The sequence below is a fragment of the Homo sapiens genome, chromosome 14 (assembly GCF_000001405.40).
Source record: "Homo sapiens chromosome 14, GRCh38.p14 Primary Assembly".
NCBI lineage: Eukaryota > Metazoa > Chordata > Mammalia > Primates > Hominidae > Homo > Homo sapiens.
The window spans coordinates 49,768,142-49,788,729 of NC_000014.9; the positions used below are offsets into that span (position 1 = coordinate 49,768,142).

At 40.4% G+C, this 20,588-nt stretch overlaps 2 protein-coding genes across 8 annotated transcripts in view, besides 1 other annotated feature; one reads left to right on the plus strand and one right to left on the minus strand.

Annotated features, from left to right (window-relative positions):
- Positions 12-18,244, plus strand: KLHDC2 (kelch domain containing 2). 3 transcript variants are annotated; one of them, NM_014315.3, is made up of 13 exons: positions 12-480; positions 3,453-3,532; positions 6,420-6,537; positions 9,698-9,813; positions 10,037-10,118; positions 10,270-10,353; positions 11,454-11,534; positions 11,607-11,665; positions 12,072-12,181; positions 12,562-12,634; positions 14,229-14,316; positions 14,401-14,453; positions 14,689-18,244. In NM_014315.3, exons 1-13 carry the CDS (start codon positions 328-330, stop codon positions 14,810-14,812), a joined length of 1,221 nt encoding a protein of 406 aa, NP_055130.1. In that variant the 5' UTR covers positions 12-327; the 3' UTR covers positions 14,813-18,244. The 3 variants fall into 3 exon arrangements, with proteins under 3 accessions (NP_055130.1, XP_006720157.1, XP_011534912.1); XM_006720094.5 differs by having other exon boundaries at positions 17,439-18,244; XM_011536610.2 differs by lacking the exon at positions 12-480 and adding an exon at positions 669-950 and having other exon boundaries at positions 14,689-16,863.
- Positions 62-241: a silencer, noted in NCBI's record as "silent region_5707". NCBI's record gives its function as "represses an Ori minimal core promoter by ATAC-STARR-seq in GM12878 lymphoblastoid cells {active_cell/tissue: GM12878}" and the evidence as "EXISTENCE:reporter gene assay evidence [ECO:0000049][PMID:35858748]".
- The window catches only part of NEMF (nuclear export mediator factor), a 70,706-nt gene continuing 64,059 nt past the window's right edge, over positions 13,942-20,588 (minus strand). For 4 of the 5 annotated variants that reach the window (NM_001301732.3, NM_004713.6, XM_047431912.1 and 1 more), the window contains 5 exons: positions 18,577-18,609; positions 17,079-17,179; positions 16,951-16,994; positions 16,784-16,863; positions 13,942-16,572 (listed from right to left, as the gene is read on the minus strand). In NM_001301732.3, coding sequence (NP_001288661.2) covers positions 16,495-16,572; positions 16,784-16,863; positions 16,951-16,994; positions 17,079-17,179; positions 18,577-18,609 — 336 coding nt within the window. In that variant the 3' untranslated portion in view covers positions 13,942-16,494. Of the gene's footprint in view, positions 16,573-16,783; positions 16,864-16,950; positions 16,995-17,078; positions 17,180-18,576; positions 18,642-20,588 lie in introns of those variants that run through there. The other variant, XM_047431911.1, reaches the window with a different exon arrangement.

A 20,588-nucleotide genomic window follows, 5' to 3' on the forward strand; every position in this document is an offset into this window, starting at 1 on the left:
GGAGGCGGGGCAGACGGGCTGCAATAGGGAGCCGGCCCGACGCGGACCGCTTCCCTGCAGTGCCCCGAGTCCCGGGCCCGCGCCGCCGCCGCCCGGCTCCGCTCGCGGCCCCTCTGTCTGCAGGCGTGCCCCGGCGGCGGCGGAGAGCCGTCCTCGGCCGAGGAGGCTGGGAAACGCGAGCGCAGGCGGCAGAGAGGCCTCAACGCCGTCCCTTTCGCCACCGCCTTTTCCTTGCCTCGCGCCGCTGTGCATTTCTCTCCTTTTCCTTTGTTTTTTTGGCCCCTCGCGGGTGTGGGCATTGTTGGTTAGCAAAAGTGCAGCCTCAAGATGGCTGATGGCAACGAGGATCTGCGGGCTGACGACTTGCCTGGGCCAGCCTTCGAGAGCTATGAGTCCATGGAGCTTGCCTGCCCCGCTGAGCGCAGCGGCCACGTAGCCGTCAGCGACGGGCGCCACATGTTCGTCTGGGGCGGCTACAAGGTCAGTGAGTGGCCGGGCCGCGACGGACGTCGCTCGGCTGTGACTCGGGTCTGCGTTCGCGGCCAGGCGGGGAGGCCAGAGCGGGCCGCCGAGGGCGCTCCCCGCCTGCGTCGCGCGCCCCACCTCAGACTCTGCCCGTTGGTTGTTTTTTTTTTGCGCGCGGGAATCTTCCTTCTCTCGAGTACCCCAACCCGTCTCGAACCTCCAGGGCTGCTGTCATGTCACCCTGGTGCTCACAAAGCCAACTCACTCCCACCCCCGTTGTTGCCATTGGAGCGTTATTCCGGGGAAGGCCCTGTTAATGTTGCTTGGGCGGTGCATTCGGAAGGGTTGGGGTGTGAAAGGTGACGGTGTGTGATATCACTCAGACGCGTTATGAGGACGGCCTACGAGGACTTCACCCTCTGGAGCTGGGAACCGCTGCCCACTTACAGGGAGGCCGAGGTGTAGGAAAACTGGAATTCCAAAAGGTTACAGGAACCACCTTATTCAGCCTTCCCGCCTGTGCAAATGGCCATCAGGACTGTTTTCCTTCTGGCTTCAGCTGGGTTGAAGTTTTTCAGCAGACACCCCTATTAAGATAATGGAAAAGCTCCACCAGTAACCAAAAAATCCCCAGCATCAAATGAACTACAGAGTGCAGCTCTTTGACTCTCCGATCCCCTGGTTATAAACAACGTGATTAGTTAGCAGTTTAAAGCCAGTTGCCATTCTTTACCCTGCTAACCTCGGAAATCTAGAATTTTATTTGCTAGGATGGCTCTGAGCCAGTCCTACCACAAAATTCCTCTTTGGTCTTGAAAATGTTCTCCGCCCTCCCCACGCCCGTGCCTTGGATGACTTGCTTTGTGATTGTTTTTAGCTTATGGTACAGCTGACTTGATCATAGTTGACCATTTTTGAGATAGCTTTCAAAGATGGCTGTCCTGATACTTTATTTTGGTTTAACTGCAAAAGTAATTTTTTGCCAATCCTAATGAATCTGCAGTGTTTTCCCCAGTTTCCAATGAATGTGGTTAGAAAATAGAAAGGGGGCCGGGCGCGGTGGCTCACGCCTGTAATCCTAGCACTTTGGGAGGCCAAGGTAGGTGGATCAGCTGAAGTCAGGAGCTCGAGACCAGCCTGGCCAACATAGTGAAACTCCGTCTCTACTAAAAATACAAAAAAAAAAATTAGCCTGGCGTGGTGACGGGCGCCCTAATCCCGTCTACTTGAGAGGCTAAGGCAGGAGAATCACTTGAACCAGGGAGGCGGAGTTTGCAGTGAGCTGAGACGGCGCCATTGCACTCCAGCCTGGGCAACAAGAAGGAAACTGTCTCAAAAATACTTTAGAAAGGGGTAGAGAATTGCAAGAAGGGGGGCGGGGGGGCAAGCATGTAGTCACCCTTATAAAAATGTAAATTAATTCCCCTGGAGAAACCTGTCAATGACACTTCTAAGCTACCTAATTCATAATTGTATTTTTAAAATGACAGCATGAGAGAATAAGACTTTGGGAGTGGGGCAGGGGAGGATTCTTAGTGTGGAATATTTCTTGTGGATTTAAAAGGGCCTGGATGATTGGGGCCGATTCAGGGAGGAGCAGCACAATCACTGAATTGGATGGTTCTGAAACAGACTGCCCTCCCCATTTATGGCTGGTGGCTGGAACCCTGAGGGTAGGCACAGAAGTCCTTGGAGATTGTTTCAAAGGCAATAAACCTTGGCTTCCTACATAGTAGGCAGTTTTCCTCCCCAGGACAGGCTGGTCCCCTGTGGGTCAGCCCGCTTCCAGCCTTTCCCTTCATCACTGGTGGGGTGGAAAAAGAAGTTGTTTTACGTGGTCAACTGTTCTGTTTCTGTATGTTTAATATTCAAGCTTGCTGGACTTTGACACCCATTTTTGGCTAACCGCAGTCGTTTACTGTGTCAACATTGTTCAGAAAGTGGCTAGGGAGGGTCAAAGGCTGGGAATGTCAGGCAGTTGTTAAAGTTCAGGGAAAGGATAGAATCCTGGCTCCATCATTACTTCATAAATAACCTTGGGCAAATTACTTAAACTCTAAACTTGTTTTCTCATAACATCAGCTACTTTTTAGGGTTGTTGTGAGGATTAAATAAAGCAATCCATGGATAGCTTTCAGCTGTGGCATATGGTAGGCTCAGTCTGTGTTAGGAATTAATACCTGAAGGGAAATGGAGCAGAACAAAGAACTTAAAATTCTGCATAAGGATTTAATATTTTGCATATTTGCAGTTCTGCCCTCTCTATTGCTGCTTAGAGAATGGATAGGTGAAAGGAAGGCATGGCTAGAAAACCACGCATCGTGTTAGCGTGGATCAGGCACTTTCAGTAACAGCCTGCTGACCATGGCACAGGCAGTCTCCTGAAGTCATGCAGCTGAAATTTGGTGCATGGTTCTGTTCAGGATAAAGCTGCCTTAGAGAGTTCCCAGAGATCTCTTGGCTGGGCACAATGGCTCACAGCCTGTAATCCCAGCACTTTGGGAGGCTGAGGTGGGTGGATTGCTTGAGGTTGGGAGTTTGAGACCAGCCTGGCCAACATGGTGAAACCCTGTCTCTACTAAAAATACAAAAATTAGCCAGGCGTGATGGCGAGTGCGTGCAGTCCCAGCTACTTAGGAGGCTGAGGCAGGAGAATCACTTGAACCCAGGAGGTGGACATTGCAGTGAGCCAGCCAAGATTGCGCCACTGCACTCCATCCTGAGCAATAGAGACTTGGACTAAAAAAAAAAAAGTTCCCAGAGATCTCTTCTTGTCCTATTGCAACTGCTGTATCAAAATTCTGAATTAAGAGCTATCTATGTTGAGCTTTACCTTGAGTGTGTGGCATGGGTGGGGGAGGATTGTGCACTGTAATACCTATTTTTCATACTAATTATGAAATTAGTATCTCAAGATCGATTTAAAAAATACAGTAGTGCCTCTTTAAAATACCAGTTTTTATATTTACAATTTTTTTTATTCTTAGAGTAATCAAGTCAGAGGATTATATGACTTTTATCTGCCTAGAGAAGAACTATGGATCTACAACATGGAGACTGGAAGATGGTAAATGTGGATATTATAAGGGGGACTAAAAAATTCAGATAAGGGCTGGGCACGGTGGCTGGCTCATGCCTATAATCCCAGCACTTTGGGAGGCCAACGCGGGCGGATCTCTCGAGGTCAAGAGTTCAACACCAGGCTGGGGTGAAACCCCATCTCTATTAAAAATACAAAAATTAGCCAGGCATGGTGGCGTGCTAATTCCAGCTACTTGGGAGTCCGAGGTGGGAGAATCGCTTGAATCTGGGAGGCGGAGGTTGCAGTGAGCTGAGATCGAGCCACTGCACTCCAGTCTGGGTGACAGAGCAAAACTGTCTCCAAAAACAAACAAATCAGATATGGCTGCAAAGAAAAAAATGTAAAACACTTTCTAAGCTACTTATATATTCTAAAAACACTGTTCTGCTACTTTAGCTTAGCTGCTAAGCTTAATTTAGCACCTGTTCTGTAGTTACTAGATACTTTTATGAACTTAGAATAAATTTCTATCTCAAGTATCATAGTAATATTTAAAATAGATGTAGAGGCTTCAGATCCAGAATGGAAAAATAAGTGTTCCATTTTTTTCAAGATGTTAAGTCTTCTGTTATATGATCTCTTGAATAAGGAAAGGAATTTATAAATGGTTAAATTGTTAGATTTTAGATTGTATAGAATTTTATCTGCTAAAAATAAAGGTGGTATTCTATTTTAATAAGCTCTCAAAATTTGCATGCAAATCTTTTTAAAAATAGTGTTGTTCTGTTTAAAAACCAAAATGACCTCCAGTTTGCCCTTTTTGTAAACTGGAGATAATCTGAAATGATCTTTTGCAGTTTCATAACAGTAGTAGTCAAGAGCATGTCCCTGGTAGAATCAAGGTGTTTCTCAAAATGCTGGGTTAGCCATGGTTGCGGATTTACAAAGTAGTTTTCCCCATGGTGTGCTTTGTGAGAACTTTATGCTTTAAATATTTTACTTACTGTAGATCTCAGAATTAGCGTAGTAGTCCCACTTAACAGTTAGGCTGGATGCTGTGGCTCACGCCTGTAATCCCAGCACTTTGGGAGGCCGAGGCAGGCAGCTCACCTTAGGTGAGGAGTTCAAGACCAGCCTGGCCAACATGGTGAAACCCCATCTCTACAAAAATACAAAAATTAGCCAGGCATGATGGCAGGTGCCTATAATCCCAGCTACTAGGGAGGCTGAGGCAGGAGAATCACCTGAACCCGGGAGGCAGAGGTTGCAGTGAACTGAGATCATGCCATTGCACTCCAGCCTGGGTAATACAGTGAGACTCCCTCTCAAAAAACAAAAACATTTAACAGTTACAAACTAAAAATAAGTCATGATTATTTCTGTATATAACAAATTGGTGTTAATATGAAGCTGTTTCTTAATCTTTTTCTAGAGAATTGGAAATTTATAATTGTATTCTCTTAAAAGCAGAATGCTACATATTTTTAAAGATAATTTTTAAGGGGCCGGGCACGGTGGCTCACACCTGTAATCCCAGCACTTTGGGAAGCCGAGGCAGGTGGATCATGAGGTCAGGAGATCCAGACCATCCTGGCTAACATGGTGAAACCCTGTCTCTACTAAAAAATACAAAAAATTAGCCGGGCGTGGAGGCACGCGCCTGTAGTCCCAGCTACTCGGGAGGCTGAGGCAGAAGAATGGCGTGAACCCGGAAGGCAGAGCTTGCAGTGAGCAGAGATCGCGCCACTGCACTCCAGCCTGGGCGAAAGAGTCAGACTCCATCTCAAAAAAAAAAAAAAAAAAATTTAAGGCCAGGTATGGTGGCTCACACCTGTAATCCTAGCACTTTGGGAGGCCGAGGTGGGAGGATCACTTGAGCCCAGGAGTTCAAGACCAGCCTGAGCAATACAGTGAGACCCTGTTTCTATTTAAAAATAATAACTTTTTTTTTTTTTTTTTTTTTAATGAGAGGGAGTCTCACTCTGTCGCCCAGGCTGGAGTGCAGTGGCGCAATCTCGACTCGCTGCAAGCTCCGCCTCCTGGCTTCACACCATTCTGTTGCCTCAGCCCCCTGAGTAGCTGGGACTACAGGCGCCCGCCACCACGCCTGGCTAATTTTTTGTATTTTTAGTAGAGATAGGGTTTCACCATGTTAAACAGTATGGTCTCGATTTCTTGACCTTGTGATCCACCTGCCTCAGCCTCCCAAAGTGCTGGGATTACAGGCATGAGCCACCGCGCCCAGCCAAAAATAGTAACTTTTAAAAAAATGAGCCTTCTAAAACTTTTAAGTTTAGCAAAGATAAATATTATTATATCTGACAGTTTTAGCAGAAGACCTTGAGTATACTATTAGAATTTTAAATCTTAGATTCCTTAGGTTGATTCAGATCAATTTTTAGATTCAGAATGAGTTAATACATACAAAGCACTCAGGAATGCCTGGCACATGGCACTACCTGTTTGTAGTGTTACATAAAGGACTGAATCTGATGCATATGAACAGCTAAAAGGGGACTGAAGAAAAAACACTGAATTAATCTATCAGCACTGGGAATGTTGAGGTTTTCCTTCTGGGCTCCTGGCCCACTCAAAAGCAAAACAACTTATGGCCATGTAAATAAATAGCAAACAATTTAGTCTGAGAAACATAAAATGGTATGCTCCTAGAATAATAAAATATGACTTAGGCTTTCAGAATCTCTCATGCCTGTACACATGGGGCCAGCTGGCACTGTTTGTGGAATGGGTAAAGAGGGAAAAGCACATTCCTTGAATTAAGGTTAGACCTAGGAGAGATCCTAGCGGCACTGTCTACTCTGCCTTCTCATTTTATTCCTTTATTGTGAGGATATAAGTAGAAGAAGAAAAATTAATAGACTTTTGCATTTCTTCCCTTTAACTTACATACATTTAATTTATTCCCCCTCAGGAAAAAAATCAACACTGAAGGTGATGTTCCTCCTTCTATGTCAGGAAGCTGTGCTGTGTGTGTAGACAGGGTGCTGTACTTGTTTGGAGGACACCATTCAAGAGGCAATACCAATAAGGTTAGTGTTTCTAAGGATTATGGCTTGAGGCATTTTTATTCTTATTATCTTTCAAACAACTGCAAATTTCTAAGGTTAGCCCCAGACTTATTTGTGTCACAGTTAAAAATGATGTGTACTTGATTATGATATGAATGTGCATTTTAGTATTTTGTGTGCCAATCTGTATTTACCTAGGCATTATGTAAAATCAACTTTTGTTGGTAACCTGTGTGCAGTAACTTCCTGGGTGGTTTTTCTTTGTGCTTTTTGCAGCTACTTGTTCTCTTAGAACCTTAAATGTTAGATGAACATTAGTAATAAAATTGCAGACAAAATGAAGACAAGATGTAATGGAGGGAAGGGTAAAAATGAGCAGGCAACCAGTCAGAAAGCTGTAAGGATAAATTAAAACTGACAAAACTTTACATGTTAACATTCCTATAAAGTGGTGCCCAAAGACAATGCTGTTCAGACTTTGCCGTATTTTGTTCCAAGTAGGAAAAAATATATCACTTCTTCTCTTTCAGACCAATAAGAGACAGATTAAGTCAATCAGAAATGATACATATGACATATATTAGCGCTTACTGAGTTGCCAAATAAATGAATCCATAGGAGTCTATTAAGTTGGCAACTTAGTAAGCACTTTATGTGCTGAGCACTTGGCTGGACACTGGAGACAGAAAGAATGATATAGTTCTCACCTCCTGGAACTCACATTCTAGAAGGGACACATATAGTAAGTAAACCACTGCAGTAGCACCTGCTAGAGAGATACACAGCACCTGGCATATAGAAAATAACTCAGTAAGTATTGTTGAAACTGAAAACTTTGACATTGTATTTGGTGGGATGAGGGAACAGAACAAGGAAAATCTTGACCGAAGAGGTGATGCTTGAACTGAATAATAAAATTGGAAGGAGTAGCCAAGATACAGAGATATAAGCAAATGTCTTTTTTTTTTTTTTTTTTTTTTTCGGATGGGGACAGAGTCTCGCTCTGTCGCCCAGGCTGGAGTGCAGTGGTGCAATCTTGGCTTACTGCAATCTCCGCCTCCCAGGTTCAAGTGATTCTCGTACCTCAGCCTCCTGAGTAGCTGGGATTACAGGCATGCATCACTACGCCCAGCTAATTTTTTTATTTTTAGTAGAGACAGGGTTTCGCCACGTTGGCCAGGCTGGTCTTAAACTCCTGACCTCAGGTGATCCACCTGCTTTGGCCTCCCAAAGTGCTGGGATTACAGGCATGAGCCACCGTGCCCGGCAGCAAATGTCTTAATTATGGAAATTCCAAGTGGATGGAATATGTGGCTGAGATGGTTTCAAACTATGTTCCTAGAAACTTTAGGGATTTGAGATGCCTTGGGACACCTGTGGGAGGAGCATATGGTGTTAGGTAGGCTCCAAGCTGCCCCTTCCTCCTCCATTTTAACAAGTGTAGCTCCACTTTTGTTTGTATACGTTGGGCTTTTGCTTAGTATTTTGCTTGAAGAAAGAGTTCTATGCCTGAAAGATTCTGTGAGGCACATCTATAGGCTATCATTGAGCCATATGTATTTCAGAGCCAAGGGGGAGAATAATAACTGACACAACTTAAAAGCTTGGGGGAGGAGACAAGCTGTGGTTTTATGGAGGTAGTTACAGAAACAGTAGTAGTTTGTCGAGTGGCTAGGGTTGTGTGTTTTAAGTTTGACTGAATGGAAGCTTGAGTGTCTCAGAGAAGTAAAAAATATATAGTGGTCAGATATATTCAGTTGCCTGGATGTGAACCCTTTAAAGGAAAGATGAATATTTAATCTTTTAAGTATTGATCCTTAATTAATCTCTTTAATCTTAAAGATTAAGTCAATTAACTCTTTAATCTTAGAGTTAAATAGACACCGAACATGTATTTGTTAAATTGAATTTAAAGGTAAAATTACTAAACCTATTTTTTTTGGGTAATACCATTCTGATACCCATAAAATAAATATCAGGGCTGGGTGTGGTAGCTTATGCTTATAATCCCAGCACTTTGGGAGGCCCAAGTGGGCACATCACTTGAGGCCAGGAGTTTGAGACCAGCCTGGCCAACATGACAAAAACTCGTCTCTACTAAAAATACAAAAATTAGCTGGGCATGTTGGTGCGTGCCTGTAATCCTAGCTAGTCGGGTGGCTGAGGTACAAGAATTGCTTGAACCCAGGGCAGAAATTGCAGTGAGCCGAGATCATGCCACTGCACTCCAGCCTGGGTGACAGAGCGAGATTCTGTCCCCACCAAAAAAAAAGAAATATATATATATATATATGGCTATCAGCACAATTTTGCAATTGCAAAAATATGGAACCAGACCAAATGCCCACCAATCAACAAGTGGATAAAGGAAATGTGGTGCATATATATACCAGGGAATACTACTCCGCCATAAGAAGGAACAAAATAATGGCATTTGCAGCAACCTGGATGGAACTGGAGACCATTATTCTAAGTGAAGTAACTCAGGAATGGAAAACCAAACACCATATGTTCTCACTCATAAGTGGGAGCTAAGCTATGAGGATGCAAAGGCATAAGTATGATACAGTGGACTTTGGGGACTCAGGGGTAAAGGGTGATAGATGGGTGAGGGATAAAAGACTACACATTGGGTACAGTGTACACTGCTTGGGTGATGAGTGCACCAAAATCTCAGAAATCACCACAAAAGAACTTATCCATGTAACCAAACACCACCTGTTCCCCCAAAACCTATTGAGATAAAAAATAAAAAAATAAAAATGGGAAAAGAAAATGTACGGCTGTCTTAGCCAGGTATGGTGGTACATGGCTGTAGTCCATCTATGTGGGAAGCTAAGGTGGGAAGATGACTTAAGCCCAGGAGTTTAGGTTACAGTAATCTATGATTGTGCCACTGCACTCCAGCCTGGCAAGAGAGACCCTGTCTCTTAAAAAAAAAAAGTGTGACTATGAAAAAAAAAATTAGTTGAGCTAACAGCGTGCTTAGTGACTTAGGAAGTTGGTATTCAGTCACAGAATCCTCATCTGGACTCTGAGCAGTCTGGCAGCCAGTCTGCAGTCACAATTTCAGTAGCACTGAATTAGATGGCACTCTTATCATAAATCATAGTAAAATTAAATGCTAAACTTGAATTTCTTTCATAAAACCAACTCTAACTGAAATCATTGCTTCTGACAGTTCTACATGCTGGATTCAAGGTCTACAGACAGAGTGTTACAGTGGGAAAGAATTGATTGCCAAGGAATTCCTCCATCATCAAAGGACAAACTTGGTGTCTGGGTATATAAAAACAAGTAAGTTGGCAGCACTACAGGTTTGGGTTTTTATGTGTAAAGTGGTTTACCATTCAGGTATCCTTAGCCAGTAAACATTTGCACAGAACATACCTCATAGGGCCCATATGAAGATTAACTGAATTAATACATGAAAGCATTTAACACAGCACCTAAGATAAACTGCTTGTATCCTATCCTATGGGTATTTGAATTTTTAGTGTCTTGGTTTTTCATCCAACAGGTTAATATTTTTTGGAGGGTATGGATATTTGCCTGAAGATAAAGTATTGGGAACTTTTGAATTCGATGAAACATCTTTTTGGGTAAGTGAAGTTTCATATTTGCATATGGCCTCCTTAGTATGTTGAAATAATACATTTTATAAGTTTTGTGCATTTTTCTTTGGTAATCAGGCAGGCTGTCTAATTTTATAAATATCATTTCTAAAATAACGCGGATTCTTATTTTCTGTAGAATTCAAGTCATCCAAGAGGATGGAATGATCATGTACATATTTTAGATACTGAAACATTTACCTGGAGCCAGCCTATAACTACTGTGAGTTACTAAAGAATAATGAATTGTTAAGGATACTTAGAGGCAGTGGGGAGGGGTGGGGTAGGGGAGAGGGGTGCACCAGAGTTGGAAGATACTGTGAAAGTGACAGTTCATTCTTGTTTTCTGGGGAGAAGATCCATAACTTTAATGATTTCCAAGGACTCTAGAACTCAGAAGTTTAATGAATGTATGAAATGACTAACCCAGCATCTATTACCTAATAATCTAATACTTTTTTTTTTTTTTTGAGACAGAGTCTCGCACTGTTGCCTGGGCTGGAGTGCAGTGGCGGGATCTCTGCTTACTGCAATCTCCACCTCCCAGGTTCAAGCGATTCTCCTGCCTCAGCCTCCTGAGTATCTGGGATTACAGATGCCCGCAACCACGCCCAGCTAATTTTTTTGTATTTTTAGTAGAGACGGGTTTCATCACATTGGCCAGGCTGGTCTTGAACTCCTGATCTTGTGATTTGCCCACCTCGGCCTCCCAAAGTGTTGGGATTACAGGCATGAGCCACCGTGCCCAACCTATCTAATACACTTTACGTGGTAGAAGTGTTTCAGATTTTGGAATATTTGCATTATATACTTAACAGTCAACTATCTCTAATCCAAAGATCCGAAATGCTCCAATGAGCATTTCCTTTCAGCATCATGTTGGCACTCAAATTTTCAGATTTGGAGCATCTCATATTTTGGATTTTCCGATTACAGATACTCAAACTGTAATTAAATAACTCTGCACTATACTGCAATTTGTATTACTTAAATATTAGATTTCTTTTCCCTCTGACACAGATAATTATATTTCTTTTCCCTTTGACGCAGATATTATATAATATGCCAGCCTTTATTTTAAAAGAGAAAAAATAAAGCAGCCTATTGTGTTAGCCAGCCCATTCAGTAACACATTTCAAAAATAGAAAATTAAAATGCCCAGTTTTGGTAGTCAGCTTGTAGTACAACTGTTGTCTAGAAGTCTACACTCCCAACTTTTAAAAGCTCAAGTGCCTTACATATTCTTATCCCATATCCAGAGTAGACATAGGTATTTTCCCTGTTTATAAAAAGTTCACTAACTTGCTTATGTGCCTCTAATAGGGTAAAGCACCTTCACCTCGTGCTGCCCATGCCTGTGCAACTGTCGGAAATAGAGGCTTCGTGTTTGGAGGCAGATATCGAGTAAGTATTCAAACGACTTCAATGACTTGCTTTTGAATTCTTCAAAATGATAACTTAATTATCCTTTTTTAGGATGCTAGAATGAATGATCTTCACTATCTTAATCTGGATACATGGGAGTGGAATGAATTGTAGGTATCACTTTAGATACATTTTTCCAAAATTCAGATTGTTTTTACCCTATATTCCCTACTATTGGTATATAATGTCCTTGCTTAACTTTTCTTTAACTATGAAATTAAATAAACATAATTACTAGGTCCTTAAGGAATGAATTTTATTTTTGTGTTTCCAGTTCCTGTAACTATGTGCCTAGTACATAGCATGTGCTCAGTGTTTGTTGAAAGGAAAAGGTCTGAAGTTGATTCTAACGTCAAAGAAAATATTTCAGTATAAAGCATGTAGTTTATACCAAGAAGCCTTTTTAAACTTAAGGTCTCTTTTTTCATAACATGTACATATAAATTTTAAAAGAAAACTTAAAAATACAGTAGCTGCTTCTAAATGCAGATATTGTAACTTAGCTATTATTTTCAGAATTCCACAAGGCATATGCCCAGTTGGTCGATCTTGGCACTCACTAACACCAGTTTCTTCAGATCATCTTTTTCTCTTTGGAGGATTTACCACTGATAAACAGCCACTAAGTAAGTCCTTGAAAAATATGATAATGAAATCATCATATATCATCCATATCTAATAGCTGAAAATGAGTCTATTAGAGACTGATGAGACGGCTTATAGGGTTGGTTGGAAGGTTTGAAATTAATTTTGATCCTGTAACATAGCTGTAATTGTACTATATGGCATACTTCTGTTCAATAAAGAACCTGGAGCACTTAAGAGCCCTGCTGAAGGGCTACAACATGCAAAGGGCTTACTTGGCTAATTGCAGGGGGGGGAAAAAAAAGAAAATATACTCTCTGTATCTGCTCATGATCTATTACCTTTCTTGCCAAAGCTGTGCCCTTTAAATGTCAATGTCATATTGACAGACTAACATACTTCATTTCTTTGCTTGAATCAGGTGATGCCTGGACTTACTGCATCAGTAAAAATGAATGGATACAATTTAATCATCCATATACCGAAAAACCAAGGTATTTAAAAGCAATTCATATACTGAATATGCATAAGACATAAGAATTGAGGTTTTGGCTGCATTATATCCAGCATTCTTATTTATAAAAATCTCAGCATTCACTAAGGTTTGAAATACTTCTCAAAGAAAAGAAAACCAATGTTATCCTAGTATCGAATGATCTCCTTTCCGTCATCTGTGCATGAAGAGTAGGGCTGGATTTTTATTTTTGCTTCTTCCTTCTGTTATAAAATTGACACATAGTTAAAATATACAATCAAGCTTTTCACTTCAATGAGTTGAACTGCATCTAAGTTTATTAAAAATGAGGGTCGGCCAGGCGTGGTGGCTCATGCCGGTAATCCCAGCACTTTAGGAGGCTGAGGCAGGTGGATCACCTGAGGTCAGGAGTTCCAGCCTGGCCAACATGGTGAAACCCCGTCTCTAGTAAAAATGCAAAATTAGCTGGGCGTGGTGGCGTATGCCTGTATAATCCCAGCTACTTGAGAGGCTGAGGCAGGACAATTGCCTGAACCAGGAAGGCAGAGGTTGCAGTGAGCTGAGATCGTGCCTTTGCACTCCAGCTTGGGCAACAAGAGTGAAACTCTGTCTCAAAAAAAAAAAAAAAAGGGGGTAGAGGTGCTGGAATGGGTAAAATGTTTAAACCTTAATCACATGGGAGGCGAGGTACAGTGGGATTACAGGATTACAGCTGTAATCCCAGCACTTCTGGAGGCTGAGGCAGGCAGAGTGCTTTAACCCAGGCATTCAAGACCAGCTTGGGCAACTTGGCAAAACCCCATCTCTACAAATAATAGAAAAATTAGCTAGGTGTGGTAGCATATGCCTGTAGTCCCAGCTATTCAGGAGGCAGAGGATGTAGTGAGCTGAGATTGCACCACTGCACTCCAGCCTGGGTGATAGAGCAAGACTCTGTCTCTTAAAAAAAAAAAAAATACATGGGGAAAAAACAAGAACTGTCAATTAGACTTGCAGTAGCACTGTATAACAAAGATGAAGAAATCAAATCATCCAAAAAAAGCTTATTAAACACTGATAATTTTCTCTTGTTAATCTCAGAACAAAATGCTAAAGGAAATGATACAGTCAAAATTCATGTTCAAAGCCTGCATTTTTTCCCCAAGTATCTAAACCAAGTATAGTCATGCAAGTAAGACTTCATTTGCACAAATGATCTCTCCATAAAACTACCAGGCTTTCTGAGACTTTATAGTTTACTCAAGCAGGGCTTTCACCATCCCTCAGACGTTCTGTGTAAGGCCAGTTGGCCCTACCTATGGAAGAAGAAGGCATATACTACTCAGCTCCCATACGATTTTTATTGCTAACAAAGACCTAGAGAACAGATCGTTCAGTTCAAACTCCTCATTGCATAAATGAGAACGACCAGAGAGAGAAAATAATATCCAGATAAAATAGATATTGATTGATCTGCTTTTGCTACTTTCCCTTAAGATTTTACTTCTCGCCATGATGTTTTGGTCTGAACTACCTTAAGATCGCTAGTCTTTATTTCATAGCTCTATTCTGTAGTATAAAATGGCCAACTGGTGTTCTGGGTGGCTTCAAACTCGTTTTTGTTTTAAATGCAGGTTATGGCACACAGCTTGTGCCAGCGATGAAGGAGAAGTAATTGTTTTTGGTGGATGTGCCAACAACTTGCTTGTCCATCACAGAGCTGTAAGTATACTACCTTCACATTATTACTGAAACTTACTTGCAAAGCATTTGCTTTTAAATGTGTTCTTCCTATTTATTTTTCAGGCACACAGTAATGAAATACTAATATTTTCAGTTCAACCAAAATCTCTTGTACGGTAAGTAACTTTGTACTTGGCACTTAGATTATTTAAAATTGTGTTTCCTAAGACTTAGCACTCTCGAAAAACTAGGTTTATGGATTATTTAAGGGCAATAAAACTTCATTGCTATAACCAGTTCCTATGAAAATCTTTGAAGAAAGAAAGAGGGATGTTTTATGTAGTTTTTCAAGTGAATGTACTTCCAAACAGTAAAGTGAAATTACTTTTCTCTTTCCTTGTCCACTTTCAGGCTAAGCTTAGAAGCAGTCATTTGCTTTAAAGAAATGTTAGCCAACTCATGGAACTGCCTTCCAAAACACTTACTTCACAGTGTTAATCAGAGGTTTGGTAGTAACAACACTTCTGGATCTTAAGGCTTCATAAATAATGCCTATGATCACCTTGCATGGACAGCAATCCTGTAAACATCACAGAGTGGCATCATTTGTATAATTATATGCATTGTTGTAGTTTGCACCTGTTGGTTTTAATGTGCATGTGAATGGCCTAGAGAACCTATTTTTGTGTCTAAAGTTTACAATAAATGTATTTAACACCAGTAGCTGTCCTCTATTAAAGTAAAGTAATGGTTGGGCTTTTTACCCTGAAGAATGGTTGCTACATTTTCTTTTCAGTAACTTCAGGATATGTATCTGTAGAAACATTATAGTCTTACCATCATCAAAATGCTGAAGTCATTTTTTGAAAACATTATAGATTTTTTTTTTTTTAATGGCAAGAGTAGTCTATAGTTATGTAACCTAGTGTTGTAAATACAATATAATAAAGGTTTTTTTTTTTAAACATTAATATTCACATTATGACGAAGCTGGAAAAACAAAGTGTGGAGGGACCAACAACTGTTCAGTACTTTGACCTTAATGCTTCAGTGTAGGGGCTGGAGCAAGTGGTCATGCTGAATACAGGCAGGTGCTGTCCAGTCAATTAAAAAGTTTTTTTTTAATTAATAGGTTTTATAGCTCATGAAGGAATGGAAATAATGATGACATCATTTTCCATTCTGTTAAGAGACAGAGGAAAAGTGGGTTAGAGTCTTTAGTGGTAAGCCTAAAATGCGCTTCTGGTATTATAGGTTAAGATACTCTAACGTGCTATATTGGTAATTAATTACTAAAGGTGGAAATTAAAATGGTACAGAACTGAATCAGATTACAAGGAAAAAATTAAGATCAAACCTGAAGGTCTACAAATGAATAGAAATGATTAAGCTGAGTCATGAGAATTATTACTTATATTTTACATTTTGGTCTAATATTTTTTTCTGACAAGTATCAATGAAAGCAGAAGAAAATCCACTCCAATACTTAGTTTTCAAGACACAATCCTAAATATTTAAACCCCTTGTAGCTGGCCTATAATATATATATATTAGATGTTATATACAGTAGACTTACCAAGTCAATAGTTTAAGCAATCAAGCCACTTCACTGTTCAGTTTCTTTACATCATGAAATGAATACTTGGTATTAACCTCCCAAATTTCAAGAAAATGTAGAATAACTACAGATGTATATAATTAGCATTTAACTGTCCACAAATACTTTAGGAAATCCTATCATAGTGTTTCCTCTATATAAAACTGGGAAAAAAACAAGAATTAAGTCCTTTTGGTGAATATAGCAAGGCAATGTTTAGTTCATTTGGCCTGTAATATATATATTAGATGTTATATACAGTAGACTTACCAAGTCAATAGTTTAAGCAATCAAGCCACTTCACTGTTCAGTTTCTTTACATCATGAAATGAATACTTGGTATTAACCTCCCAAATTTCAAGAAAATGTAGAATAACTACAGATGTATATTAATTAGCATTTAACTGTCCACAAATACTTTTGGAAATCCTATCATAGACAGTGTTTCCTCTATATAAAACTGGGAAAAAACAAGAAGTAAGTCCTTTTGGTGAATATAGCAAGGCAATGTTTAGTTCATTTTTATAATGCGGAAATCCTGATACATGGTGCTTTCATCTTTGAACTTCCAAAAGGCTATAAAATTGGCTCTTCTCAAATATTTTAGAATTTCATTTCAGCTATTTCCTTTTTACGTTCAGAAGATTGGGTGCAGACACTTTCACTTTGCCAGGAATGTTTCTTGATAAATCTGTGTCCTAAAAAAAGAAAATTGCTGAATATCTTCACATCCTGTATGGTCAATCATGTTTCTTTTATGACAAAAACGAAAAACATTTCCAAACTTTTAGCTGAGATGGTTTTACTGCTTCTAATAAGACAGCATTTTCTACTAAAATAACAAAAAACTGCTAACATTTTAAATTGTACTGTCAGTCTCCACATTCCTTTTCTGAAGGAGAACTTTACCTTTACGCTGCGGAATAAGTCTTTTTCTCTTGCTGTTGCTTCTTTGGAATGCATGAAACTATTCAAGGCTGTTTTTGCAGCTGTAAATACAAAAAAGAGTAAGAATAATCTACTGTTAAGTCACTGAACTGTTTAAAATCATAATTCAAAAAAACAAATTTAAATACCTTTTCCCTTTTTCTGCACTCCAGGAGTAAGTTTCACTTTATATCTTTAAAAAGGAATTACATGTGTTACTAAATAGACGTTACAAAACAATTCACAAAAGCCATTCTGTCAACTAATGGTAACTTACTTGTAGTTTGTCATGGTGGTGTAAGGGGCACATATTGGAATGGCAAACAGTAGTACATCTTCAGGATGTGGCTGGCCTGTCAAAGAATCAAATAGGTTTTCCTAAAAAGGGAAAATAACAGTTACAAAGGCAATTTATACCGCCCTTTACAAAAAATGCTAAAACACTTGAATTAGTATCTCAACATATTTTTTATCTTTTCCTGATATACATACCATCTAAGCTGGAACAGTGGTACTTAAACTCTGCTTCATAGTTCCAAAGAGTTGAAGACCAATGTTTAAATATATTCTTTACTACTTAATTTTTGCCTAGCATAATAAGTAATGAGAACAATAATTTTCAAAATCCTACCTACAGTTACATTTAAGAGAAAGAAGGCCCAGGAGCAGTGGTTCACGCCTATAATCCTAGGACTCTGGAAGGCTCAGGCTGAGGCGGGTGGATCGCTTGAGCCCAGGAGTTCAAGACCAGCCTAAGCAACATGGAGAAACACCATCTCTACAAAAAATATAAAAGTTAGCTGGGTATAGTGGGTGCCTGTAGTCCCAGCTACTCGGAAGACTGAGGGGGGGAGGATCACCTGAGCCCAGGAGGTAGACGTTGTGGAGAGCCATGATCCTGTCACTGCACTGGGTGACACCAGCCTGGGTGACAGAGACCCTGTCTCAAAAAAAAAAAAAAAAGGAAAAAAACTATTGGATATTACCTGAGTTGCAGAAACCTGCTGTGGATTAAAATGATGCAATAATAACCACAAATAGATTTAAGTCCTATCACATGGAAATGGGACTAATACCTTGGCTATACCACTATTTCTCGTCCTGGGGAGATTCTGCCCTCAGAAGACAATGGGCAATGTCTAGAGATAGTTTTCGTTGACACGATGAGGGGTGAGAAGGAATAGGTAGGGGCTGCTACTGGGATCTAGTGGGTAAAGGCCGAGGATGTCGCTAAACATTTTATAATGAATGGGACAGACCCCACAACAAAGAATTAACCAACCCCTAATGTTAATAGTGCCAAAGTTGAGAAACCCTGGGCTAGAACAGCCTTCTCTCTTACCCATTATTAAGGAGAAATCCCAGAGTTCTTATTTGCTGTGCTGCCTGTGAGATTGCCCCCATTTATTTTACAATATGAATAAACTTAGATTTAGGACAGAATGCTTGGTGCTGAAGTATAATTAATATTTGAGTGTTTGCTATGTGCCATAAACTTTTCTAAATGCCCTTTACATACATTAGTTATCAAAACAACCCTCTCCTGGGTAGGGACATTATCCCCATTCTTCAGATGAGGAAACTGAGGCACAAAGAATGTTTCCAAGTTTGTACAGTTACATATAGCAGAGTTGGGATTAAGACCCCGAAAGTTTGACTTCGTAGCCTGCAGTCTTGTCTTAGGTTTCTAAGTTTTAATAAGTTGTGTTTCAAACATTCTGGGAACTGAATTGTAATCACAGTGTTGTAGTAGGAACCCCAACATAAAATCATACCTCATTTCCCTGTTGATCCAGATCTTGCTCTTCCTGTTCCGAACATATAAAAATAAAAATGTCAGCTATAATGTAAAATGAAAATTCCACATCATTAAACCATAAGGAGAAAGAAACAGTGATACAACCAGACTGTCATTTCTGACCCACAGGATAGGGGGCCTCAAGGTTATATTCTTCCTAAGACTCTGAAGTGGATTCGTATATGTGTTTGTGTGTGTCTGTTTTATTACTTAAGAAAGTAATGTCATTCAAGAGAAGAAGGGTAGTTCTCTGAAGTAGAGGAGGTGGGAACTGAAACTTTCATATAAAGTATATGTTAAAGCAGCAAAAGTTACAAGTACAATTTAAAATGACAACTAAGGTTGATAAGTTTGCCAGGAGAAAAGCAAATGGAGAATTTTGGTCAACAGAACTTTTATTTTTAAATATCTGTTCAACAGTTTTGGATAAATTTTTCCCATATCCCATAAAATATGCTTAATTTTGTTTGCTTAAGAAAAATCTATCTGGAGATAACTGACTGTCTCAGTCTGTTCAGGCTGCTGTAACAAAATACCTTAGCCTGTATAATTTAGAAACAACAGAAATTTTACTTCTTACAGTTCTGAAGGCTGGGAAGTCCAGCATCAAGGCACCAGCAGATTCAATGTCTGATAAGGGCTTGCCTCAAAGATGGTACCTTAGGCTGGGTGTGGTGGCTCATACCTGTAATCCCAGCACTTTGGGAGGCCAAGGTCGGGGGATCCCTTGAGCCCAGGAGTTCGACACCAGCCTGGGCAACACAGGGAGACCTCATCTTAAAAAAAGATGGCACCTTATTGCAGTGTCCTCACGTGGCAAAAGGGCACTCATCTCATTCATGACAGAAGAGCCCTCGTGACTTCACTTCCTAAAGGCCCAACCTCTTAATACCATCACACTGGGTATTTAGGTTCCCATATATGAATTGTGGGGGGATATTAACATTTAGACCATAGCACCTACTCATGAAAGAACATTAATAATTAACACCTCTAGTGAGTATTTGTGAGTCTAGGATTTACAGAACATAAGGATATTGTACAAATTTTAAAAGCCAAAACGAGTTTTAGTATTACTAAACAACAACTGTTCAGCAGGAAAAAAAAGAAAATAGTAATACAGAATCCCTGTAAGCATTACCTGCACTAAACTGAGCACACAATTATAACTCAAGCTTTACATAAAAAAAATGCTGGTGACAAAGGTAAAAATTTTTTATCTGGCCTCTATTTTAAGCCGTTATTAAAAAATAAACAGGCTGGGCATGTGTCTTACGCCTGTAATCCCAACACTTTGGGAGGCCAAGGCAGGCGGATCACCTGAGATCAGGAGTTCAAGACCAGCCTGGCCAACATGGTGAAACCCCATCACCACTAAAAATACAAAAATAAGCCAGGCGTGATGGTGCATGCTTGTAATCCCAGCTACTCAGAAGGCTGAGGCCGGATAATTGCTTGAATCCGGGAGGTGGAGGTTGCAGTGAGCTGAGATTGTGCCACTGCACTCCAGCCTGGGCAACAGAGCAAGACTGCCTCAAAAAAAAAAAAAAAAAAAATTCAAGAAGAGGTACATATTCATGTAAGAAGATATACAGAAGGCTGGGCTTGCTGTACTGTTAATAAAACAATTAGGCAATCATCTTAGCTGGAAAAATACGAACTCACTGGTTTTGTAACCAGAGTACTTGGCTCTTAAATGGTGTACTCATTTTCAACATTATGTACGACCATATGGCATAGATTCCTATAGAAAAGCTTAGAGAAAGTGAAAATTTATTTTCTACACATCTTCAAGACAATCCCAATTTTCTCTCTCTCTTTTTTTTTTTTTTTTTGAGATGGAGTCTCGCTCTGTCGCCCAGGCTGGAGTGCAGTGGCACAATCTCGGCTCACTGCAAGCTCTGCCTCCCAGGTTCACGCTATTCTGCCTCAGCCTCCCAAGTAGCTGAGACTACAGGCGCTCACCACCACACCCGGCTAATTTTTTTG